Below are 25,743 nucleotides of genomic sequence, written 5' to 3'. Positions count from 1 at the left end.
TATTCTTGTGATAGTGAGTGCATTCTCAGGAGCTCTGATGGTTTTATCAGGCAGTTTCCCTGCTCTTGCTTCTCTCTCTCACCTGCCACCATGTAAGACATGCCTCTTCCCCTCTGCCATGACTGTAAGTTTCCTGAGGCCTCTCCAGCCATGAGGAACTGTGAGTCACTTAAACCTTATTTCTTTACAAATTACCCAGTCTCAGGTAGTATCTTTATAGCAGTGCGAGAATGGACTAATACAATAGGGGACCAAGATTTTTGGTTTTGTGCTACTTACCCTGGTAGGAAATCTAATGAAGGCTCTGGACCAAAATTTTGGGTAAACAGTTTCCATGCAGTTTAAAAATAAAAATGAAAAACGCCATTTCTACCCCCACCCACTTCTTTCTTTTTTTTTTTTTTTCATTTTCAAATGAGGTTAGGGCTAAATTTTCAACTGTTTACATTTTAGCTAGGTGGGCCAGGCATGGTGGCTTATGCCTGTAATCCAAACCCTTTTGGAGTCTGAGGCAGGTGAATTAAGGCAGGTGAATTACTTGAGCTCAGGAGTTCTACACCAGCCTGGGCAATAGATTGAAACCCCATCTCTATAAAACGACAACAAAACTAGTCATGTCTGGTGGTGCATGTCTGTAGTCCCACCTACTTGGGAAGCTGAGGCAGGAGGATCACTTGAGCCCGGGAGGTCAAGACTGCAGTGAGCCATGATTGTAACACTGTACTCTAGGCTGGGTAACAGAGCAAGACCCTGTATCTATATATCTATATCTATATCTATATCTATCTATATATCTGTATCTGTATGTGTATCTAGATCTATATCTATCTATAAAAGAAAAAAAAACATTTTAGCTAGGATTGACTGCATTGTATAAGAATCTCCAAGAAGACTTGAACTAGCAGCAAATGTCTTTTGGTTGCTGGTCTTGTTTGCTTGGTTAGAGATGTGGGCAGGAAGCATTGCAGCAGGGTTTTGGTTTTATTTTGTTTTTGGCTTTTTCTTTTTGGACTCTGCATGGCAGAAAAAGTAATACAATTTTTATGCTGGACAGAGATACCTTACATTATTGCTCTGTGCTCCAGCTTTTGACCTCTGTAATCTGAGAGCCTAACTTTTATAAACATTTATGAATATGTAGTTCCTTTTCTTTTAGATTATTAATTTTTCAATTTAGTGCTCCATCACCATAAGCAATTGTTAGTCAGTCAAACCTAAATTGATGTCTCTAAAAGGTGTCTAGGTTGTTGGTTACCATGGAGCTGTCGGAATTTCTAAAGCCGTTAATTTGAAAGCCCTTTAAGACTTTGAAAAAAATCTTGGCTAGAATGCCATAAGCAGTGAGTTTCATCTCAACCCAGCAGAAGAGTCAGAAAATTCAAAATAGGCAAAAAAAAAAAAAAAAAAAAAAAAAAAGTTGGGGGAGAGATACAGACCTTAGAAGACTCCATGTTAACTCTATTGCCCCAAGGTTGTTTTTTTGAGAGGGTTGCTTTTTTAGAGAGTTCAAATAATGGCCATTGAGCTCTGAATTTTCCTTGGTGTCATTTTGCCAATCACTTAAAAAATGTGCATGAGAATGGGCCACAATATGTAACTGGCTGGAATCCCAGCACACCAGGCATACCTTAATGTGTTAGAATCTCATTCAATTCTTATTAATCTCTTGAGAGCAAAGAAAATCTGCAAATCCAGCCAGGGAATGTCAGGAGTTTAGACCATGTTTGAGATGGCGGTGGCTGCCCTGATGGCCTTTAGTTAGCAATTCTGCACTCACCATTTAGAATGTTTATTTTTGTTCTCAGAAGATTTTTAAAAACCATCAAGGGGAAAGACTCAAATCAAGTCAAAAGGAACCAAGGTAAGAGTGTTCACAAAAATTTTAACCTAGGTGTCCACATAGAACAAAATGTTAAACCAGGCATGCAGATCAAAAGTGAATTCACAAGTAAACACATGCCTTACAGAGAGAATGTTAATTCTGTACAAATCAGAGCATTCAACCCAGAAAGATTTATGCCTTTGTACCAGAAAGGACTTAGCAGAAAAGACAAAAAGGCTGTTTATCATCTCGGGCTGGATGTGTGGTCCTTTATCAAGGCAGCCTCATCCAAGTCACATTCTGAGTAGCATCAAAAAGCCTCCAGCACAAAGAGAAAGGCTCAGCCTGAGAAAGGACTCGCCAGGGTGAAAAATCAAGCTGTGGAAATGAAGAACTCAAACAGCTGGAGTAAATACTGCACAACGGCTCCAAAAAATGGGAGTAAAAATGATTTCTTCCGATGGTGATATTTTCCTAGTCCCATTTCTGACACCATATGTATCAGTCGAAGTAACAGAGAGAGGCTCACTCAAAGAAGAAGTAACTTATTCAAGAATAGAACATTGAAATGGGAATACACATGCCACAGTAAATTACGTGCATATTCGGGTAAAGGAAGACAAAGGGTTCTAAAGGGAAAATTCGGAGGATGACAGAATTAGTTTGAAAGAATTATTCCGGGCTACAAAGATCAATAGCAAGGGTGATGCCAGTCCAAGGTTGGACAGGCAGGTGCTGGGCAGACATCCTTGCAGAAGTATTTTTTGTGTAAGGTTGTGCTGGTCTTTGTGCAAGGTTTTGGGTTTTGCAGCGTCTTCTATCATATTTTTTGTTATTCGATGGATGTGGGAACACTCCCTTCACGGCGTTCACTGGCTCCATTCGTGGGGGCTTTTTGTTTGTTTGTTTTTCTAACACAAGTGCCTTCATTTTGATTCTAATGACTTTTATGCCTCCACCAAAATTAACCTGTGAGAAACAGTCTATGTTACAATACTACAGGTGCCTTCAAATTTACATTTTACAACTAGGTTTTTGAGTTTTTTTTCTTTTTTTTGAGATGGAGTCTCTCTCTTGTCACTCAGGCTGGAGTGCACTGGCGTGATCTTGGCTCACTGCAACCTCTGCCCCTCGGGTTCAAGTGAGTCTCCTGCCTCAGTCTCCTGGGTAGCTGGGATTACACCCAGGTGTGCACCACCATGCCCGGCTAATTTTTGTATTTTTAGTAAAGACGGGGTTTCACCATGTTGGCCAGTCTGGTCTCAAACTCCTGACCTCAGGAGATCCACCCGCCTCGGCCTCCCAAAGTGCAGGGATTACAGGCATGAGCCTCTGTTCCCAGCCATTTTCACTCATTTTCACTGAGTGAAAGGACGGGATAGCACGTGGAGGAGTCTCGCCAAATGCCGTGGAAGCTTTTACAGGAAGGAGGGAAGCTGAACGGTCATCGGATGTGGTGCAGGCCATTCTCTTTCAACCTCTCAACAATGGTCACACTTTCAGGGAGGAAGACCTGGGGTATGTATCGGTCTTATCAAGAAAAGCTGTTTCTTTTCCTGTTTTATTTTATCCCAAAAGCTTAAAAGCCCCACCAGGTTATTCTTTTTAAAAATATAAATGGGAGGGTAGCATTGCCTCTCACAGGACTGCTGAGAACCACGCTCGCTGAGGTCACTCACAACTAATACAGCTGTTTCCTACATCACTGATTTTCTAGGGGAAGGCGCCCAGTCCCCAGGAGCACAATCTGTCCTGGCCATGCTTGTCCACCGAACTGCAGCTTACACTCTGCAGGTCCTGGAGCCCAAGAAAGACCCCGGGAGGGAGCTCCCGGCCACGCCCAGGTCCTGGGCCCCGGCGAGGCAGCCATCACCACTTCACAGGTGAGCTCTGTCAAAACCGGCAGCTTCTAAGTACAGTCAGTTACCAGTGCGCCGTGAAATAGTTCTCAAACTGGTTGCCATACACAGGCATCTTATTGCATTTGACTTTATTGTGCTCAAAGATACTGCATTTTGCACAAATTGAATTTGTGGCAACTCTGCCTTGAACAAGTCGGTTGGCACCGTTTTCCCAACAGCTCCTGCCCACTTCGTGTCTCTGTGTCACATTTTGGTAATCCTCACAGTCCAAACTTTTTCATTTTTATCACCTATGGTGATCTGTCATCAGTGATCTTTGATGTTACTACTGCAATTGTTTTGGAGCACCGTAACTGCCCACGTGAGACACCAAAATTAATTGTGTTCTGACAGCTCCCCTGACCCGGCGTTCCCGTCTCTCTCCTGTCCTCAGCCTCCCTATTCCTTCAGACAGAACAATATTAAAATCTGGCCAGTTAATAACCTTACAATGTCCTCTACACATTTCACTGAAAGGAAGAGTTCCAGGTACCTCACTTTAAATCAAAAGCTAGAAATGATTAAGCTTGGTGAGGAAGGCACATCAGAAGCCGAGATAGGCCAAAAGCTAGGCTTCTTACACCAAATGGTTAGCCTAATTGTGAATGCAAAGGACAAGTTCTTGAAGGAGATTAAAAGTGCGACTCCAGTGAACACAAACGATAAGAAAGTAAAACAGCCTTATTGCTAATACAGAGAAAATTTCAGTGGTTTAGATAGAACATCAAACCAGCCGTGATACTCCCTGAAGCCACAGCCTCATCTAGATGGAGGCCTTAACTCCCTTCAACTCCATGAAGGCTGGAGAGGCGAGGAAGCTGCCTCTCTCCACTTTCTTCAGAAAGAAGAAAGGTTGGAAACCAGCAGAAGTTCATTCATGAGGTTGAAGGAAAGAAGCCGTTTCTGTAACATAAAAGTGAAGGTGAAGCCTCAGCTGCTGGTGGAGAAGCTGCAGCAAGTTCCCCAGAAGACCCAGCTGAGACCACTGATGAAGGAGGCTGCACTAAACAACAGATTTTACATGCAGATAAACAGCCTTCTATCGGAAGAAGATGCCGTCTAGGACTTTCATAGGTGGAGAGGAGAAGTCAGCGCCTGGCTTCAAAGCTTCAAAGGACAGGCTGACCCCCTTGCTAGGGGCTAATGTTGAAGCCAGTGCTCATTTGCCATTCTGAAAATCCCAGGGCCCTTAAGAATGATGCTAAATCTCCTCTGCCTGTGCTCCATCCGCGGAACAACGAAGCCTGGATGACAGCACCTCTGTCCACAGCATGGCTTACCGCATGTTCTAAGTCCACTCTTGAGACCTGTTGCTCAGAAAGAGAGATTCTTTTCAGAAAAATTCCTGCTCATGGTCACCCAAGAGCTCTGATGGAGACGTACAGGAGAGGAATGTTGTTTTCATGCTGCTGACACCACATCCACCCCGCAGCCCAAGGATCCAGAATGATTCTGACTTTCAAGTCTTATTATTTCAGAAATACGTTTTCTAAGGCTATAGTTTATTCCTCTGATGAATCTAGGCAAAGTCAATTGAAAACCTTCTGAAAGGAATTCATCATTTTACATGCCATTAGGAACATTCATGATTTATGGGAGGACGTCAAAATATCAACATTAACAGGGGTTTAGAAGAAGTTGATTCCAGCCCTCAGGGATAACTTTGGGGAGTTTGAGGCTTTAGTGGGGGAAATAACTTCAGACGTGGTGGAAATAGCAAGAGAACTAGAATTAGACGATTAGACGGGGCCTGAAGATGGGACTGAACTGCTGCAATCTCAGGATGAAACTTGGACGGACGAGGGGCTGCTGCTTCTGGACGAGCAAAGAAAGTGGTTTCTTGAGATGAAATCTGCTCCTGATGAAGACACGGTGAAGATTGTTGAAATGAAACAAAGAATTTAGAATATTCCGTAAACGAGTTGATAAAGCAGCGGCAGGGTGTGAGCAGATTAACTGATTCTGAACAAAGCTCTGCTGTGGGTAAAACGCTGTCCATCGGCATCACACTCTCGTGAAAGCAAGAGTTGATCAACACGATAAAGTTCGCTGCTGTCCTATTTTTAAAAATTGCCACAGCCACCCCAGCCGTCAGCTGCCACCACCCTGATCAGTCAGCAGCTGTCAGCACTGAGGTAAGACCCTCCAGCAGCAAGAGATTTGGACTCACTGAAGGGGCAGACGGTCGTCATTTTTTAGCAATAAATTAGTTTTCAATTAAGGCATGTGCATTTTTTAAGACATAATGGTATTTCACAGTTAATAAGACTACAGTATAGTGTAAACATAATTTTATAAAGCACCAGGAAACCAGAATGATGCATGTGACTTGCTTTATTGTGATACTCACTTTATTGCCGTGGTTTGGAACTGCAGCAGTAGCCGTTGCCAGTTTGTTGGGGTGAGCATCTTAGACATTTAAAGCAGCCATTTCCACGTGTTGTTTTTATTCTAATATTTTTAGTATATTGATAAACAACATAAGAACACATGTCCTTCTTTTAGAAAATCCAAAGTATAAAATTCACATTTATAGAACATAAAATAGAGCAGAATATTGGCCTTATAATAGCACAAACCTCCTGAAGTAGTGGTTCTTAAACTTCAATATACCTCACGATCGCACAGGGAGCTCTTTAAAATGTCCTGTGGACCTGAACGGATGAGCCCTCCCAGGAGATCAAGCAGAAGAGGCTCAAGATATCACTCCCAGAAACTCGCTCCCTCAGCAGGTAGTGGTGAGGGCAACATGAGCAGGGCCTTCCTCCACCTCACCTGGGCCGCAGCTGGGATGCGCGTGAGCCCGGACCTTCCTCCGTCTCTCCTGAGATGCAGCTGGGATGCACGTTGCTGGGGGAAAATGGCAAGGACGCCAGTGAAAAGCACCGGGTAAGAATCGGTGCATTAGGCCCAGGGTGTTAAAGTGTCCTGCTGGAAGGAAGACTCAATCCTCCCAGGGTATCACCTCTGCTGGCCTTGCTGCTTTCACGAGTGAAAGAAGCTGCTGGCGCCGACCTGTGGGCTCTCTGTGACTGACGTGGTTTCATTTTGGCATAACTTGGAGCCACTGCAGGCTGGGGCAAAACAAAAGCAGGTCTCTTCTGTCTCAGCGGGAGTTCCCTGCCAACCTTTTGTGGACAGAGCAGCAGGGAGTGCAGTCTTGCCGGCCTTCTCTGTGCAGGGCGAGGTCTGGGCCAGGAGGCTCTGCAGCTGAGACCAGGGCGGCCCTGTCTGGTCATCCCCACGCAGACATCCCACCCTCCCACTGGCCCACGGAGCAGCTACACCTGCCGCTCTTCTGTGGACCAAGGGCACGGTGGACGGCAATGCTGTTTCACTTGGGATCAGGCCAACTGAACAACGCGGTCCGGAGTCAGAGGACTGCCATTGTCATTTACCTCGCCTCCTTTTTCTCAGTATCACAAAGCCCTCCTGGACTCAGACCTCTCAAGGAGGAGTGTGGAACCCCCGTGTTCTCTGACCCCCGCCTCTGTTTCCTTGGCCGCCATCTCCATCCTGCCATCCCTCACAGCCTCCCTGGCCTAGCTTCTTTCACAGCCCCGGGTCCTCAGGCCTGGCCAGGTGCTGAGTGTGGCCACTTTTCTCCAGGGTTTCCAGCTTCCAGGCTCCCCATACAGTACAGAGCAGACTGTGTGTAACATATTGGGTGAGCTATGAAGCCTAACCCTACAATGAGCCCATCAGCTGACCTGAAATCCAGGGTGTCACCAACATCACAACAACCGCTGGAGAGCTCCCCATCCCACTCTGCCCTTTGCTTCCCCACCAGCAGATCCACCAGCCTCAACCTGGTGTTGATCATGTTCCTTTTCTATGGTGTTTTATTGCATGAGTATATATATATATATATATATATATACACACACACATACAAAGATATATATATACACACACACACATATACAAAGATATATATATATATACACATACAAAGATATTGTTTAGTTTGGCTTGTTTCTGAGGTTTATAAAAATAGCATCATATATATTCTTCAGTGATGGTTGTTGCACTAATCATTGTGTATCTGCATCTTCCTCTAAATGATTTTGTTTGGCTGTGGTTTGTTGATTGGGATTGCTGTATAATATCCTATTACGTGGCTGTAACAGAACGTGTTCATGCCATCTTTATACATGGACATTTGGTGTAACAGAATGTGTTCCTGAGTCTTTATACATGGACATTTAGTTGCTTTCATGGGAAGTACTGCAGCGAACATTCTGTATGATTCTTGGTGCACCTGAGTTAAAGCCTCCGGAGGGTGTGCGTGTGGAGGAGGGTGTGTGTGTGGAGGGGACTGCAGAATCATAGAGTGTGCAAATGTTCAGATGAATGAAGTGACAACCAATTTTTTGAAATGGTTGTTTTAATTTATAATCCCACCAGCAACAAAGGAGTTACTTTCCATCCACATCCTCAACAAGTCTATGTTATCCAACTTGGTCTCTGCCATGCCAAGTAAAAACCTGTGTTAAAATGAAAACTTGTAGTTCTGATTGTCAGTCTCCTAATGACCATATGGTTTAGCTTATTTTTCTATTTTTTATCTGCCATTTGAGTTTTTTTTCCTGTGAAATGCCTGTTCATGTTTGTTGCTCATTTTTCTGTTGGGGTGTTTGTCTTTTTATTACTGATTTGTAGTAGTTCCCTGTGGCTTCTGAAGGAAAGTATTTTATTGTTTATATGTTACTCATGTTGTCTACCAATTTTGTGTTTGTCTTTTTCATTTTCTTTCTGAGACACTTTGATGAACAGAAGCTGTTAATTTTAAGAATGCCTTCCCTAACATGAGGATTTTAAAGATATCTTCCTTTTATACTTTTAAAATGTATGAAATTTGCCCTTCACAGCTAACCATTTACTTAATAAGAAATGGATGTTTCATATATGATGTAAGGCAGGAATCCAATTCATTTTCCATATGAATAACCAATTGTCCCAGCACTATATATTGAAAAACTTCTGTTCTCTTTGATCTGTGATGTCATCTCTGATATATACCAGTCTCTGTTTTTTTTTTTTTTTTTTTTTTGAGACAGGGTCTTGCTTTGTTGCCCAGGCTGGAGTGCAGTGGCGTGATCTCAGTTCACTGCAACCTCTGCCTCCCTCATTCAAGTGATTCTCCTGCCTCAGCCTCCCGAGTAGCTGGGACTACAGGCATGTGCCACCAAGCCTGGCTAATTTTTTTGTATTTTTTAGTAGAGACGGGGTTTCACCATGTTGGCCAGGCTGGTCTCGAACTCCTGACCTCAGGTGATCCGCCCACCTTGGCCTCCCACAGTGCTGGGATGACAGGCGTGAGCCACGCACCGGCCAGGCCAGATTTTCTATTCTGGCTTCTACTGCGCTGTTGGAATTGCTAGAGCTCCGTAAGTCATGACATCTGGGAGGGCCAGGGCCCCACGATTCTTTAGAAGTTTCTTCAGAAGTTTTGTGGCTGTTCTTGGTATTTGTTGTTTCATAACTTGTAGAATTAATGTGTCAAGTTTATTGATAAAACCTGTTAGGGCCTTAACAGGGCTGTGTGGAATCTAAGTCGCTCTGAGGAGAACTGGCAGTTTTGTGATTTGAATTTTCCCATCTGTCAACTTGGTCTACCATTTCACTTGCTTAGGTCCATTTCAAAGTCCTCCAATAAGGTTTTATGATTTTCTCCGTATAGCACTTGCTCATTTTTGTTTTGTATTTATTCCTGGTTACTTTATTTTCTGTTGCTATTGCACACGATAGCTTTTTAAAAACTGCCGTTTTCCGGCTGATTGCTGCTGGCTTACAGAACTGCAGTGGATTTTCATGAACTGGCGCCACGCACTCACCTTACTAAGATCTTTTATTTCTAATAGTATATCGGTAGATTATTTGCAGTTTCCATGGTAAAAACACATATCATTTATGAATGATGATTGTTTTATGCTTCCCTTCCAAGTTTTGTAGCTTTTCTTTCTTTTCTTGCATTGCTGTGGGTAGTTTAGCCCCATAGTGCAGTGATTAACAGAATCAGTTATAGTGGGTCTCCTTGTCTTATTCCAGATGGTAAAGGGAAAGTTTCCGACATTTCTCCATCAGGAAAGATTTATGCTAAGGGTTTTTCTGGCCTGTCTTTTCTCAGGTTAAAGAAACTTCAGTTCATCCCTAGTCTTCTAAAAGATTTTTATGACTGTTTTAGAATAATATCAAATGGTTGTCTGCCTCTGTTGAGATGACCATATGGTTTTTCTCTTTCATTTTGTTAAGACAGGGAAATACATATATTTGCATATGTGTAATGTATACATTATTCTGTTTCTAAAACCAGATTCAGTTATGTATTTCTGGGATAAACCCAATTCCATAAGTAGATTTGTAGTTAGCTAATATTTGACTTAATCTTTTTATGGCCATGTTTACAAGTGAGAAACGCCTGTGTTCCTCTCTTGTGTTATCCTTGCTGAATTGGAAATCAAAGGTGTATTGGGCTTATAGAATGAGTTGGGAAGCTTTCCTCTTTTCTGTCTCTAATTCCATTTTTGAAAGCATTTTTATAAGTGTGGGATGACCTTTTTAAAATGTTTGATATAACTTTAAGCCTTTCTTGTCTTGGTATTTCTTTGTGGGAAAATTTTAATTTACTGATTAGATTTCTTTCATAGTTAAATGTCTGTTTAGACCTGTCTCATCTCAAAATGAGATGTTTCACTTTTGGAAATTATATTTTCTAGGAATTTGCCAATTTCTTTGGATTCATTATTGTTCTTTTTCATCATCTTAAATTGGATGTTTAGCTCATTAATTTTAAGCCTGTGTTCATTTGAATCAAATCTCAGAGCTATAAATGCCCTACTAGATCTCACTTTTGCTTCCTCTCACAAGTTTCAAAATAGTCAATCATTCGAGTATGGCTTTATTTCTATCGCAATCTTTTTCTTTGATGAAGGAGTTAGTTCAAAGTACATCTTAAAATTTCCAAATGTATAGGAAATTTCTTTATCTTTGTATTGTTGATTTCTAAATTAATTGCACTATGGTTAGATAACATAAAATGTATGATACTATTATTCTGAAATTTAATGCAGTTAGCATAAAGCCCAGTAGTATATGGTTAATATTTGCTTCAAAGGAATGTGTATTATTTTCTGATTTGGTTCAGCATTCTATGTCTATCTAATAAATTAAGCTTGTTGAATGTGTTATTCAAATTTACTATATGTTTACTTTTTTTCTAATTGAAAAAGCAGTAGTCTAAAGAGATGTGTCAAAATCTCTCACTTTAAAAGTGCATTTGCCAATTTCGCCTGCGGTTTTATCAACTTTGCTTGTGTGTGTGTGTCTTCCCTCCCTCTCTCTGTCTCTCTCTCTCTCTCTATATATATATGTGCGTGTGTATGTATTTTTTCTCCTCTGTTACACACTTTTCCTTTGGGAATCTATGGAGATCTGCTTTTTTGTCTATTTTAAAAATTTGTGTTCACTTCATTGTTGTTCTTTTGGTGATTGCCATTGAAATTTTACTTTGCATTTCTAACATAATAAATTTAAGTTTAATACTTCAGTTTCCTTCTCAACAACATAAACCTTAGAACACTCTTCTCCAGACTTTCAAACTAACATTGTTCAATATTTTAGCTCTATAACTTTTAAAACTCCTAAGTTAGATATTGTGGTTATTATCTTATAGACAGTGTTTGTTTAGATTTAACATATATTTAACAATTTATTTGTTTGTCATTTCATCTGATATTTTATAACTTCCTTTTTTAAAGTAACAATTTATTAGGAAAAAGATCTATCTCAATGTAAAGGAACTGGTTCTACTAAAACAATGCATATCTAACAGACATCTAAAATAGTTATAGAATATGTAATCTATACGTAATACACGCTGCGTAATACACGCTGCGTAATACGCACTGTGTAATACACGCTACGTAATACACGCTACGTAATGCTGCGTAATACACGCTACGTAATACACGCTGCATAATACATGCTACACACCACACGATGTTATGCATAAGTCTATCATGCCCTTATGGGATTAGTTTCCACCTGCTTAGAGAACATTCTTTAGAACTCCTTTAGGAAAGTTTTATTGGAGTTTAACTCTCAGTTTCTGTTTCTTTGAGAATGTTTTATTTGCTCTCATTGTGGAAAGACGGTTTGGGTAGACAGCAGTAGAATGACAATTTGTTTTTAGAAGACATGATTCCACTGGATTCCAGTTTCTATTTTTGCTGTCGAAAATCTGGGCATGGCACAGTGGCTCACGCCTGTAATCCCAACATTTTGGGAGGCCGAGGAGGGTGGATCACCTGAGGTCAGGAGTTCAAGACCAGCCTGGCCGACATGGTGAAATCCTGTCTCTACCGAAAATACAAAAATTAGCCAGGCATAATGGCACACTCCTGTAATCCTAGCTACTCGGGAGGCCAAGGCATGAGAATGGCTTGAACCTGTGAGGTGGAGGTTGCAGTGAGCCAAGACTGTGCCACTGGACTCCAACCTGGGTGACAGAGCAAGACTCTGTCTTGAATAAAACCAAAACAAAAAAAAAAAAGAAGAAAATAAAATCTGTTAGTCTTATTGTTGGCTTTATAGGTGATCTGTCTTCTGTTTGTCTTCGGTGCCCTGAATTTTTTTTTTTTCTTTTTTGAGACGGAGTTTTCGCTCTTGTCGCCCAGACTGGAGTGCAATGGAGCGATCTTGGCTCACTGCAACCTTAGCCTCCTGCCTCAGCCTCCCAGGTAGCTGGGATTACAGGTGCCCGCGACCATGCCCAGCTAATTTTTGTATTTTTAGCACAGACAAGGTTTCACCATGGTGGCCAGGCTGGTCTCAAACCCTTGACCTCAGGTGATCCACCCGCCTTAGCCTCCCGAAATGCTGGGAGTACAGGCGTGAGCCACCGTGCCTGGCCTCAGTGTTCTGACATTTTCTTGCATGTCAATGGAAGTGTCTATGGGTGGATTTCTTGCATGTGTCTATGGGTGGATTTCTTTTTATTTACTCTGTTTGGAATTTATTGTGTATTCACGACTCTCATCAATTCTTGCAGGTTTTCAAGCATCATCTCTTTAATTAATCATTTTTCCCTCTTCCTTTTTGGTCTCACTTCCTAGAACTATGAATAGATATTCGTTAGACCTTATTCTATAATCTCTTCCTCTTAATCTTTCAAATATTTTTTGCCTCCCTGTTTTTCTGTTATGCATTCTGCACAATTTCTCCAGCTCTAACCTCTAATTTTGGTGCCTCTGCGGGTCTGAGTCTGTTTTGTGTTCGGGTCGTGCGTGCTGACTTTTGCTCACGGACGCGTTCCTCTGCGTGTGTTTGCTGCTCTTTGGCCGTGAGCTCAGGTTTGCCTGATGTCACTCTGTGAGAACCCGGTGGTGTTTACTACTGGCTCAAGCTGGGGACCCCAGTGGGGAGCACATTTGCCTCCTCTGCTGGGCCTGGAGCCCCAGCTCACCTCCTGGCCCAGACAACCTTTAGGTGGCTCTGATGTGGCAAGTCCTCCCAGGGCAACCTCACCTTTTCCATTTCATTATGGGATTTCCCTCCTCTGAATTCAGGTCACGAAGGGAGCCTTGAAGAAGTCCCTTATTTCATTCAAGCCCAATACTGGCAGGAAAACCAAGTCTCAGGCAGGATCGGATGGTTTTGTTGGTGAGGACCCTTCCAAGTGTCTGGCCTGCCTTACTGCCATAAGTAGACATCCCCTCCGATTTTTCTTCGGTGTGTTTTTAACTGCATAAAATAGGCCAACAGGGAAAACCAGTTTCTTCCTCCCCCTCCTCCTCCTCTTCCTCCTCTTCTTCCTTTTGGGCTGGGTTTTGAGACAGAGCACGCATTCCAGAAGAGGCATGTGTTTGCGGTTGCTTTTATTTCGATACATGAGGCAGAGAAAAAGAGCAAAATGTGGAAAGTCCCCGTGAGTGGAGGGGCCCTGCTGATGTGACGCGGAGAAAGCGATGCCTCCACTGTCAGAATCTTGTCATTGTGGGGAGAGAGCTCCGTAAGACAAGGTGTCTATAAGCAAAAAGTACATCTGCATGGAAGATGCTATTCCATGATGGATTACCGTCAGAACAGTTTGCACCGTGCATCCTAACACACAGGCCAGTTGAATCTGCTCTATAAGGTGCGTGAGCATGGGGGCCGTTCCAGCTCAATCGACTATTCCCTGACTCTTTTTACCGCTCCCATGGGCTTGTCTGGATGGCACATTACTCTCAGTAAAACGGAGGAATAATGAAAACAAATGCGCTGCACTGTGGCTAAAGGGAACTGCTACCTTTTTCGTCGTTTTGCTTTTCTGTTTTTATGTTTTAAAGGAGGTGGTAGCGCACATGTGGACTTTGGAATGAAAAAGACAACCGGGAAAACGTAGATGGCTCGTGTGCTGTCTAGGAGAAGGCCGCTCCCGAGAGGTGAGGACCGCATCTGTGATTCTGTGGCCCGTGAGAGCAGCTGGTGCGCCCTGCAGGGCTGACAGGGCCGAGGATAGAACGTGCCGCTTTCTAATCACCGGTCAGAAGCGTGGGCCGGAACAGAGGGTCACGAGCCCTGAGCCCACGCGCACACACCGCCAAAAGCTTCTAGGGTGCATTTGATTGTGGTGGTAACTCTAGCGACTCTGAGTTAGAAGGATCCCGTTTTGTCTTAGAATTTTCACCAGGTGTGTTTTTAATTATAGCAGGGAGAGATGGCATTGAATGTTTTGCTGTTTGAGCCTTCCCATACAGCTCAGGTTTAATTTATGAAATTGTTATGAGAAGTCTGGCATTAAGAGAAGAAAACATATTTTAGGGTGAGTCTGATTCGTGTTTCTAAGCCCAACTTTCATTTAAAAATTCCCTTTGTCTGGTGCAGCCAGAGAGCTTCTGGCACCTCCCAACTCTTCTGTGGCACAGTTGTCACCTGAGGTCTACTCGGTACATTACATGGAAGTGAAAAAACTAATGCATTCTAACATTTATTTTCCTAACACATTTGTTCTGGCCATACAGCAGCAGGCCATTTGCGATTGCGTATTGTAATGCATTCTTTGCAGCTGGAAAAAGTACATATTTTGGAAAAATAAGCATAGGACTTATTTGACTTTAAATCATCAGATGAGTCTTAAAATGCCTTTTAAAGGAGACCTCTAGGCTTAGTGCTGAATGTGGGTTGTCCATGCAACTTAAGGGAGGATTTCTTCTGTTTATTTAAAAATAATTCCAAAACATAAAACTGATGACTTATTTGAATATTACTTAAAGAAGATTCTTATCATTTAGAGATATATGCTGAAATATTTGGAGATGAAATAGTATGATACCTGAGATTTATTTCAAAGTAACCTGGTTTAGGGACTAGTGGGTATGACCGAGATTAGATGGTGCTGCACTGACGGTGCTGGAGGGGGCAGTGGGACTGAGGACTGAGGGTGCTGGAGGGGGCAGTGGGACTGAGGACTGAGGGTGCTGGAGGGGACAGCGGGACTGAGGACTGAGGGTGCTGGGGAGGGGAGGACAGCAGGACTGAGGACCGAGTGTGCTGGAGGGGGCTGCAGGACTGAGGACCGAGGGTGCTGGAGAGGGTGGTGGGATGGAGGACTGAGGGTGCTGGAGAGGGGAGGACAGCAGGACTGAGGACCGAGTGTGCTGGAGGGGGCTGCAGGACAAAAGACCGAGGGTGCTGGAGGGGGCGGTGGGACTGAGGACCGAGGGTGCTGGAGAGGGGAGGGCAGCGGGACTGAGGACCAAGGGTGCTAGAGGGGGGAGGGCAGCGGGACTGAGGACCGAGGGTGCTAGAGGGGGGAGGGCAGCGGGACTGAGGACCCAGGGTGCTAGAGGGGGGAGGGCAGCGGGACTGAGGACCGAGGGTGCTAGAGGGGGGAGGGCAGCGGGACTGAGGACCGAGGGTGCTGGGGAGGGGAGGACAGCAGGACTGAGGACCGAGGGTGCTGGAGGGGGCGGTGGGACTGAGGACCGAGGGTGCTAGAGGGGGGAGGGCAGTGGGACTGAGGACCGAGGGTGCTGGGGAGGGGAGGACAGCAGGACTGAGGACCGAGGGTGCTGGAGGGGGCGGTGGGACTGAGGACCGAGGGTGCTAGAGGGGGGAGGGCAGCGGGACTGAGGACCGAGGGTGCTGGAGGGTGCAGGGGGACTGAGAACTGTTGGTGCTTTCGCATATGTTTGAAAATTTTCATAATACACAACGTAAAATGTTGTGTTAGAGGAAACATTCTTCCTCTATAAATTTCACTTGCAATTTATGTACAAATTACCTTCTAGTTTGCTTCTTTTCTTATCACTGCCAGGTTTCCATTACAGCCACTGGAGAGAGTTTCTAAGAAGCAGGTCCCCAGATGACTGTCTTAATGTGATTCAAAACAGAGAAGGGATTGGAGCCATGGACAGACGGCACAAGATAGAACCGAGGGTGGGCCGGACTTGAGAGAGTCCTTAACAGAAAGAAATCGCTCTCAGGGGATGCCTTAAAGTGCAGCATTTTACACTGTAGACCGTGAGCATCCTGGAATTTCAAGTTCTGTTCCATTGATCTTTATGTCTGTCCTTATGCTGATACCAGATGATCTTGATCCCTGTAGCTTTATAGGAAGTCTGAAATCCAGTGGCATCCATTCTCCAACTTTGTTCTTTCTCAAAATTGTTTTGGATTCTTCAGGTCCATGTAAATAAATAGTTCAGTTTGTCAATTGCCACAAAAGCAATTGCCACAAAAAAATTGATAGTGATTGCATTGAATCACAGCAATTTGTGGAGACAATATGTAAATAATATTGAACCTTTCAAAGAGCACAAATGTCTCTCCATTGGTTTTGCTCTTCTACGATGTTTGCGGTTTTTGCTGATGAAAACTCAGTGATGTTTTGTAGCTTTCAGTGAACGAATATTGCATGTCTTGTTATATTTAATACTATTTTATTATTTTTGATGCTATTGTAAATGGAATTGTTTTCAATTTTCAGGTTGTTTATTGATATTATATAAAATATAATTGATTTTTGTGTAATGATATTATATCTTACAATCTTGATAAGCTTGTTTATTAGTTCAGTAGGGCTCTTTTTTGTAAATTTCTTAAGAGTTTCTACATAGACGATTAGGTCATCTCCAATAGACAGTTTTATTTCTTCTTTTCAGTATTTATGGTTTTAACCCTCTCCTCCCCTTCCCCCTCCCCTCCCCCCTCCCCTTCCTCCCTCCCTCCTTTCCTCCCTCCCTCCCTCCCCCCTTTCCTTCCTTCCTTTCCTTCCTCCCTCCCTCCCTCCCTCCCTCCCTCCCCCCTTTCCTCCCTCCCTCCCTCCCTCCCTCCCTCCCTTTCTTCTTTCCTTCCTCCCTCCCTCCCTCCCTCCCTCCCTCCCTCCCTCCCTCCCTTCCTTCCTCCCTCCCCCTTTCCTTCCTGCCTCCCTCCCTCCCTTCCTTCCTTCCTTGGAAAGGAGTTAATCATGAAAGACTGAGGCCTTCCCTCCTAAGATGCTGAACAAGACAAGGCTGGCTGTTCTCACCACTTCTCCAGCACAATGTGAGAAATTATTGTTACAAGTCAGGCATTAAGAAAAGAAAACAGGCCAGGTGCAGTGGCTCACACTTGTAATCCCAGCACTTTGGGAGGCCAAGGTGGGCGGATCACGAGGTCAGGAGATCGAGACCATCCTGGCTAACATGGTGAAACCCCGTCTCTACTAAAAATACAAAAAAAAATTACCCAGGTGTGGTGGCGGGCACCTGTAGTCCCAGCTACTTGGGAGGCTGAGGCAGGAGAATGGTGTGAACCTGGGAGGCGGAGCTTGCAGTGAGCTGAGATCGCGCCACTGCACTCCAGCCTGGGTGACAGAGCGAGACTGACTCAAAAAAAAAAAAAAAAAAGAAAAGAAAACATTTTAGGGTGAATCTGATTCACATTTTCAAGCCCAACTTTCATTTAAACACTCCCTTCTTCTGGCACAGCCGGAGAGCTTCTGGCACCTCCCAGCTGTTCTGTGGCACAGTTGTCACCTGAGGTCTACTTGGTACATTACATGGAAGTGAATAAACTAATGAATTCTAACATTTATTTTTCTCCTCCAGCACAATGTGAGAACAGACAGTTTTGTCTTGTTTAACATCTTAGGAGGGAAGCCCTCAGTCTTTCGTGATTAACCATGATGTTAGCTGTAGGTTTTTTGTGCATGTCCATTAAAAGATGTAGGACGTTCCTTCTTTCTTGTTTGCTGTGAGTTTTTATCATGAAAGGTATTGGATTTTGTTAATGATTTTTTCATATCTATTGATGAACTGATTTGCAGATATTAAACCAATCTTGGATTTCTGGGATACACTTTAATTGATCCTGGTTTATAATCCATTTTATATGTGGTTGCATTTGGTCTGCTAATATTTTGTTAGGGGTTTTTGTATCTATGTTTGTGGAAGATATTGGTGTGAAGTTTTCTTGTAATGCTTAATCTGGCTTTGGTATCAGGGTGATCCTGGCCTCATAGAATGAATTGGGGAGTATTACTTACTCTTTGTTTTCCTGAAAAAGTTGTGTAGAATTGGTATTATTTTCTTCTTTAAATATTTGATAAAGTCGACCAATGAAGCCATTGGGGACAGGGCTTTTCTTTTGGGAAGATTTTTAAATGTCTTTACTTGTCGTAGGCCTATTAGGATTTTCCATTTCTTCTCAAGTCAGTTTTGGCCATTTGTGTCTTTCTAGGCATTTTTGCATTTCGTCTTTATTGGCATATGTTTGCTCATACCATTCCCTTAGCACGAGGTGGTGATGTTCCCTCTCATCACCGGCCTTACTAACTGTGCCTCCTCTCTCTTCGCGGTCAGCCTGTTTCCGGATCTCTCAACCACAGCGCTAGTAACATTTTGGGCTGAATAATCCTGTCTTTGAGGTCTCCACTGTGCACTGTAGACTGTGGCTGACATGCAGTTGGATTTTGCAGGTGAGATCTGTTTAGGGTCAACGGCTGTGTGAGGAAAGGAGAGGAATCAGGGCTGGGCGGAGGGAGATGCATATCGCAGCGTGGTCAAGCCAGCTGAGCCTCGGCCAGGCTCCAGAGTGAAGGCGGCCTTCAGAGAGTTCCCTGGCCGCTTCCCGGCCTTCCCCTCCCGCCTTGCTCATCCCTGGACGGGGCTCCCTACAGCAGAGCTCAGTTCCTCCTTCCTTGGGGCCTCAGACTCGACCCCCCTTCCTGCTGCTGGGCAGCAGAGGCTTCCTGGGGTGGCACTTCTGTGTTCACCCCATGAAGGCACTTTCTCTCTGAAGTTTACACACAAGGAAGACCCGTTTGAGGCCATGAAATGTGCACTGTGACAGTGACGAGCCTAGGGTCACACGGATTCATGGCTCCCGTGGAGCCACATTCCAGCATCTTTTGGGGGAGGACACTCCCTGCCGGGCAATGAGGAGCCAGTAGCAGGGTCTCCCCTCCCTGAAGACGGGCTGGACACAAATCACCTCATTTTCCACTCTGTCCACACCTGAGGCTGCATCTCAGCTGGAAAATTACACTGGAATTCTAAATAATAATCATTATTGTTTCTGGTTATTTTGAATCCACTGACAAAGACCTTTACAAAATAATTGCACCATTTGAGGTGCAGGGGAAGATTCTTGAGTTGGTGTGTGAGGAGAACATTAGGGAAATTCTGCAGTGGTGTTCTGTTTAGTAAGTATAATTGCAAGGAGTGTATCATGTTAAAACGCCTGACGTAGCGTCTTGTAATAACACATGGTTTCCGTCGAGAAGCAGATGGTTCTCGGCCTCCCCTTAGAATAAAACATCATCATTTCACCACACCCACAAGCTCCACTGCAGAGTGAGAGCAAAGCCGTATGCCGCACACTTCAGATCCGTGTAATTGCAGCCTGAGAACACTTTTTAGGGAGAAGTGCCTTTAAAAAGAAACAACTTATTAGAATATCAGATAAAAGGGTCCTGGAAGAATGGTATTCAGTAGTAACTATAGCTGTGGCTTACAGAAAAGCACAAATGAAACATTTCTATCTCGAAGACTTGTGGTCCCTGGATGTTTTAAACTTCATGTTTCTGGACAAAGTAAAAAAGACACACTCACTGTGCTTCAGATGCTTTCATTTCACCATAAGAAGACGTGAACAAGGTTTTTCTGCTCATATATTGAAACCTTTCACAAAAGTTCTCTTAAAAATGGAGATATAACTCGTACCATATAATTCATGCCTTTAAAATGCCCAATTCAGGGGTTTTTAGTATATTTACAAGGTTGTGCAGCCATTACCGCTATTCAGTTCCGGAGGGTTTTCATCACCAAAAGGAACCCGGGACCCTCAGGGTCAGGAACTTGCTTCCCAGTGTAATGGAAGCAGGCGGCCACTAGATGGAGACGTCTCTCCACCGCCTTGCAGGTGGGGCTCGCACCCCGGGGAGGTCAGAGGGAGGGACTCCGCGCAGGAGGCCGGCCTCAGCCCCGTGGCACCTGCAGGCCTCCGGACACCTGCCTCCGCCCCTCACTTCTCGCGAGACAGTTTCCCCAAATACCTTATGCCTAGTCCTGTCCGTGCAAGAGAGGCTCTTTAGGAAGAATGTGCACACACGTTCTTTATTTTACTAGTTATTTCTTACGTATTATTATACATTAATTCGAATGTGTTACAGAGAGTAATATAACAGGCACATTAGTCCATGATGTCACTCGTTTTACTTACAATGAGCCTAAGTGGAAAAGCAAAATTACATTTAAAATTAATTCGAGAAACATATTAAGTGACTGTCGGTTGAGGTGCAGACATGGCCAAGTCCTGTGGGGCACCCCAGCTTCTAGGCTCTGAAACAGCGCAGGAAGGATGCCTGTGGGAGGATGAAGTAAAAATCCCTTGACTTCCACGAGAATGGGACAGCCCCCTTCCAGGCGCAGATGTGTGCTCCACGTTGCCTGGGAATCGATGACTCTGTCTCACCTGCTCTCCCCTCCGGCCTCCAAGCAGGAGGCCCTTGATCCATTTGTGTGATCAGCCGCGGGGGACGAACTCCTCAGTCCTGGGGAGGTTCGTCCTCGGATAATGCAATCAGGAAGCTGGCTCTTTATGGAACTGGCCATCCCGGGCAGTGCTTGCAGTTATGGGGGCAAGAATACAGGCTGAGGGGCTGAGGGGGGTCTTTGGGCGGCACATGGCCATGGACGGGGCTTAGCTTACAATTTTGAAACCTGGAAATCAAGGTTTTGGAAACAAGCCTGATTGTAGGTTGAGTCACTCGGTGTTTTGGGGCCTCTGTCTGCTGGGGACGCACCAGCTGGGAGGGGAGGCAGCAAGTTCACCTGCTTCCTGTTCCCCCATGGGGCTTGGGTTCCTGTTCCCCCACGGGGAGCTTCTTGTTCTGCCACGGGGGCTTCCTGCTCCCCACGCTGCCCTGGCCTCCGCCTGTGCCTCTGTCAGCCAAAATCGCAGGCCTCAGAGGCTTCACATGCTCGGGGTAGGGTTTGACGTGGGCGGCAGTCCTGGGAAGTTAGAGGCCTCACCCCTATTTTCTAGATGAGAGAAGTGGCATTCAAAGCATTTAAGTAACTCTGGTTACTGGGGAGATGGTCTGTGAGCTTTGGTTCTTTAACTCCACACTTTCTTTTCATATATTCTACTTTCTCCGAATTATTTTCACCCCAGGAGAGTAAGGTACTTGCCTGTAGACTCACATGCTCTTGGCCACCTTCTAGCGCGGTAACTACCCACTTTGTCTTGGGGAGAGTGTGGAGTGAGGAAACCTGAGACAGCCCAGGATTTCTCCACCGCACACAGTGTTGCAATTTTTTGAGGGTGGGGGTGGAAATTCATGCACTAATTGCCTTTATGAGAACAAATGATGGCGTTGCGTAATGTTATTGTATAAAGGGAGTGTTATTTCCTATTATTAAGCATCTGCTTAAGATGCTTGGGGGAGAATATAAAAGTCATTTAAGAAATATTTGTTGAGGAAATAAATGAATAAATAAATTAGATAAGAATAGCACCTGGTCTCAAAGAATCATCAAGCTAATAAGATCTTCTATCGAGCTTATAAAAAACAAAGTTCTACCAAGAAGCTGGCAGGACTCTGTAGTCTTTCATGATTTCCAAATCGTGGAACCACCATCCACCTCTGCATTCCTGTTTGCAACTGAGGGTTCCACCAACCCCAGAGGGGAAGAAAAATCACAATACAACAATAAAAAAAACCCAATAAAATACCGTGTAAACAGTATTTACACCGCATTGCATAGTTCGAGGTATCCCAAGTCCTCTAGAGAGGATGCCCCATTCCAGGCGAGGCCCCGCCCCGTGGGTTCTGGCGTCGGGCGGGGGGGGGGGGTCTGGGGCGCCTCCCCTGGGGGTGTCACGAGGCCACCTGTGCGTCCACAGGGGCTTCTCGAGTTTGCCCCTCGCTGTCCCCACACCAGGGCAACATTGGGCCTTCAGACAGGTGTGTGCAAGATGAAAGATGAAATTCATTTTCCCATCTCCATAGCATCCGACAGACAATGCCGGCAAAACCCAGCCTGGTAAAGAGGGAGAGAAGGAACCAGGCTTTGGCAAGAGAGGCGCCGTGGTTTCCCCAGAGAACACAGTGGAAGACTTCCGAAGGGCCAGGTTCCTCCTCAGGGCGGAGGGGGCGGCGCTGACCGGGCTGAGACCGGGCTTGGAAGGAGCAGGTGGGGCTGGAGGCCCTGCAGGGTCTCGGCTGGGTCCGCAGTTTTAAATCAGAACGGGAGCTCCGGGCCTGTCATCGTCCTCATGGTAAGAGGCCTGGAACCCGAGGCCAGGAGGCTGGGAGGGAGCCTGGGGAGGCTAAAGTGAGCCCAGCCTGCCCGGGGTCTGCACTGGGGCCTCACTGCCCGGTCTCCTCTCCTCCTGACAATCAGGGGCGTTGATTAGCAGAAAACCCAGTTAGAGATGGTGCTGGTGGCAAATATGAAAAATGGCACAGTTGTCCGTCCCTTGATGTCCCTGGGGGACGCGTCCCAGAACCTCGAATATGGGACCAGTCCCCACACTCAGTCCCTGCAGCCAGGAGGACCTGCCATGTGCAAACTACTGGCTTAATAAATGTACCCATGTAGTTTAAACCTGCATTCCTCAAGGGTCCACTGTAATTACAGTTACCGCTCAACTAAACAAGTTAAAATTTTATGGACGTATGTAAAAAGTCGCTTAAAGAAAGATAAAATCATGTTAAAATACAGTGAAGGCTGAGCATAGGCCCAAAATAATTGAAATCAGGATATCGAAGAAGCACCTACACCCCCATGTTCACAGCAACTTTGTTCACAAAAGCCAAAAGGCACACACCACCTACGTGTCTATCCAGGGCGGAATGAACCCACACAACGTGATCCGTCCTACAGTGGAATATTCAGCTTTGGACAAGGAAGGAAAATCTGACTCAGGCTATACCATGGATGAATCTTGGGGACATCATGCCCAGTAAAGACAATCACGTGTGAGTCTCACTCACAGGAGGTCCCTGGAGTCCACAGGTCCATAGAGACAGAAAGCAGGTGGGGGTGCCGGGGGCCGGGGCAGGGGAGTGAGCATTTCACGGGGACAGAGCTTCAGGTTGGGAGGATGAGAAAGTGCTGGAGACGGTCGGTGGTGAGGACTGCACAGAACATCGTGAATGTGCTTAGCCCTCTGGACCGTGCCCTTACAAATGGTTAAAATGGCACATTTTATGTTATTTATGTTTTACCTCAATTTTAAGAATACAGCAGAGGAGCCCACCATTCCGGGCAGGACTCGCTCCGCACTGCGGCTTTATTTGGGGATTTGGAAAGTTTCACTGTGGCTACTTGTTACGGGAGGAGGGTGTGGTGGGCATCTGGGGGGCATCTACATGGGCATCTGGGGGGCTCTTCGGGGCCCCCAGTTTCTCCGGAGGTGCCCTGATACTCTGCAGTCACAAGGATACAGATGTGTGGGTTTTTGTTTGGATCCTCCTTTTTGAATGGGAAGGAGGAATCCCAGAGCCAAAGTGAGTGTGGCTGACGTCACGCAGGCTCAGAACGCAACCCCAGCCTGTGCCTCAGACGCTGCAGGGAGGACCCTTGAGGCAGCTGCACCTGGAGTCCCTGCCCCAGCTTTGCCCACCACTGTGGCCACACGCAGAGCCCTCCTCAGGAAAGAGCCCCGTGCTGCCTGCATGGCACACACGGCAGCGTTCCAGTGTGCCGGCTCGTGCCACGACCCTTCCGGACTTTCCGTGGTCCACGGTAGCATGGTAGACAGCACTCCCTTCATCCCACGAAAGGCGTCTGTCCCTTAATTTGAGAAGACATCACTCTTTTCTAAGTGCCACTAACCCATTCGAGGTGCCCCAGTCCCCCACTTTCCACTCAGACTCCCATGTGGGACGGTCGTGGCTGTGGGGTGTCCCTGTGTCTCCGGGGTGACTTGGGCCTCCAGAGAACCCCTGGCACAACCTCCAGCTGAAAACAGGAACAAAGAAAGTGAGCTTAACATTCCGGCTGTTTCAGACAATGTGTTTCTCTTTGTGGGGGCAAGGAGGGCAGGGAGACACCTGAAACCATTTTTATTCATCAGCTCAAGTTGGTGGGTGGCAGGGTCATGTTGAGGGAAAAAAGCCAAACTCTGTAAAATATTTAGAGAGGTTTCTTCTGAGCCAAATATGAGTGGTCAAGGCCCGAGGCACAGTCTCAAGAGGTCCTGAGAACATGCGCCCAGGTTGGCTTCAGACATTTAGGGGGACAAAAGTTACAGGCAGACGCCAATCAGTACATGTGAGGTGTGCGTGGGGTTGGTCTGGAATGGTGGGATGACTCAGTGGAGGCCTCCAGGTCACAGGTGTATTTGAGAGTTTTCTGATTGGCAATTGGTTGAAAGAGTTAAGTTATTATCTAAAGACGTGGAATCACCAGAAAGGAGTGTCTTGGTGAAGGGGTTTGGAGACCAAGGTTCTTATGTAGATGAAGTCTCATAGGTGGCCACCCTTGGAGACAATAGATGGCAACTGTTTCCTCTTTAGACCTTTAGAAGGTGCTAGACTCTCAGCCAATCTCTTCAGCGTCAGAAAAAGGCCTGGAAAGGGAAGAGGATTCTCTACAGAATGTACATGTCTCCCACAAGAGACAGCTTTGGAGGGCCGTTAGAAAATATGCCAAATAAATATATTTTGGAGTAAAATATTTGGATACTTCCAGGGCCTGCCCCCGGTCATGTGATGCTATACTAGAGTCAGGTGGGAATTTGGTATCTTATATTGCTACCAACAGCCTGTTTGTCAGCCTTAAGATCTCTGTTTTAAAGTTCATACTGGTCAGTTGTGCCTGAATTCCAGAGGGAGGAGGGTAGAATGGGGCATCTCCAGCCCCCCACTCCCTCACCAGCCTGTGCTTTGGACACTGCAGGGATGACCCTTGAGGCAGCCGCACGTGGCCTGACCTCGTTTTTCAGGTTTCTTTGAAATCCCCTTGACAGAGAGGGGGTCCATTCAGTCGGTTGGGGGCTTAGAAGTTTATTTTTGGTTTACAGTCGGGACAGCAGACACCAGCGTGGCAGAGCTGGGTTCTCCTCCTGGGGGCCCAGGCCGTGAGGAGCAGCCGGCCAAACTTCCTTCAGGCAAAACACATGCTTTTTTCTTTTTTTCCTTTTTTTTGGCATCAAACTTACCAAGAAATATCTCTACCCAACTTTACTGAAACTTTAAAGCTTGTAAAAACTTTTAGGTCAAAGTCCCTTATTTACAGTCCAGACGTTGGCAAGTTTCGCTGGGGCACAGATGCCGGCGAGTGGAAGCGGAGCTGAGCCAAACTTTCTCGTCTTAAATCAAAGACGAACATTGAAAACATCTTGGGCTCTAGGCAGAGCCCAGCCCCAGCGCCGCCGCGTCTGGACAGGAGCTTCGGACGCACGGCAGGGCCCGGGGACCTCCAGGGAAGCCTCGGTCCAGGGCCTTCGAAGGCTCGGCTTGCTCAGAGCCAGGGCGACGGCTCCGAGCTGCTCTACGTGGGCCGCACAGTTTATTCCCATTCGGGACTGGACCCCGGGTCC

General features: G+C 45.5%; 1 long non-coding RNA gene across 1 annotated transcript in view, besides 3 other annotated features; it reads left to right on the top strand.

Annotated features, from left to right (window-relative positions):
- CTDP1-DT (CTDP1 divergent transcript) overlaps positions 1-25,416 on the top strand; it is a 40,818-nt gene extending 15,402 nt beyond the window's left edge. The window contains exons 2-5 of the long non-coding RNA NR_136643.1: positions 3,540-3,705; positions 22,205-22,473; positions 23,045-23,176; positions 25,225-25,416. This is a non-coding gene — a long non-coding RNA (CTDP1 divergent transcript). The remainder of the gene's footprint in view (positions 1-3,539; positions 3,706-22,204; positions 22,474-23,044; positions 23,177-25,224) is intronic.
- Positions 6,290-6,825: an enhancer, noted in NCBI's record as "H3K4me1 hESC enhancer chr18:77417519-77418054 (GRCh37/hg19 assembly coordinates)". NCBI's record gives its function as "activates a minimal SCP1, AML or CMV promoter by ChIP-STARR-seq in naive H9 embryonic stem cells {active_cell/tissue: H9 hESC(naive)}" and the evidence as "EXISTENCE:reporter gene assay evidence [ECO:0000049][PMID:30033119]".
- Positions 6,826-7,361: an enhancer, noted in NCBI's record as "H3K4me1 hESC enhancer chr18:77416983-77417518 (GRCh37/hg19 assembly coordinates)". NCBI's record gives its function as "activates a minimal SCP1, AML or CMV promoter by ChIP-STARR-seq in naive H9 embryonic stem cells {active_cell/tissue: H9 hESC(naive)}" and the evidence as "EXISTENCE:reporter gene assay evidence [ECO:0000049][PMID:30033119]".
- Positions 18,864-19,378: an enhancer, noted in NCBI's record as "H3K27ac-H3K4me1 hESC enhancer chr18:77404966-77405480 (GRCh37/hg19 assembly coordinates)". NCBI's record gives its function as "activates a minimal SCP1, AML or CMV promoter by ChIP-STARR-seq in primed H9 embryonic stem cells {active_cell/tissue: H9 hESC(primed)}" and the evidence as "EXISTENCE:reporter gene assay evidence [ECO:0000049][PMID:30033119]".
- Positions 25,417-25,743: the final 327 nt, after the last annotated feature.

The sequence above is a fragment of the Homo sapiens genome, chromosome 18 (genome assembly GCF_000001405.40).
Source record: "Homo sapiens chromosome 18, GRCh38.p14 Primary Assembly".
NCBI lineage: Eukaryota > Metazoa > Chordata > Mammalia > Primates > Hominidae > Homo > Homo sapiens.
Note: the sequence above shows the minus strand (reverse complement) of the source record. Positions and strands in the feature narration are given on the sequence as shown.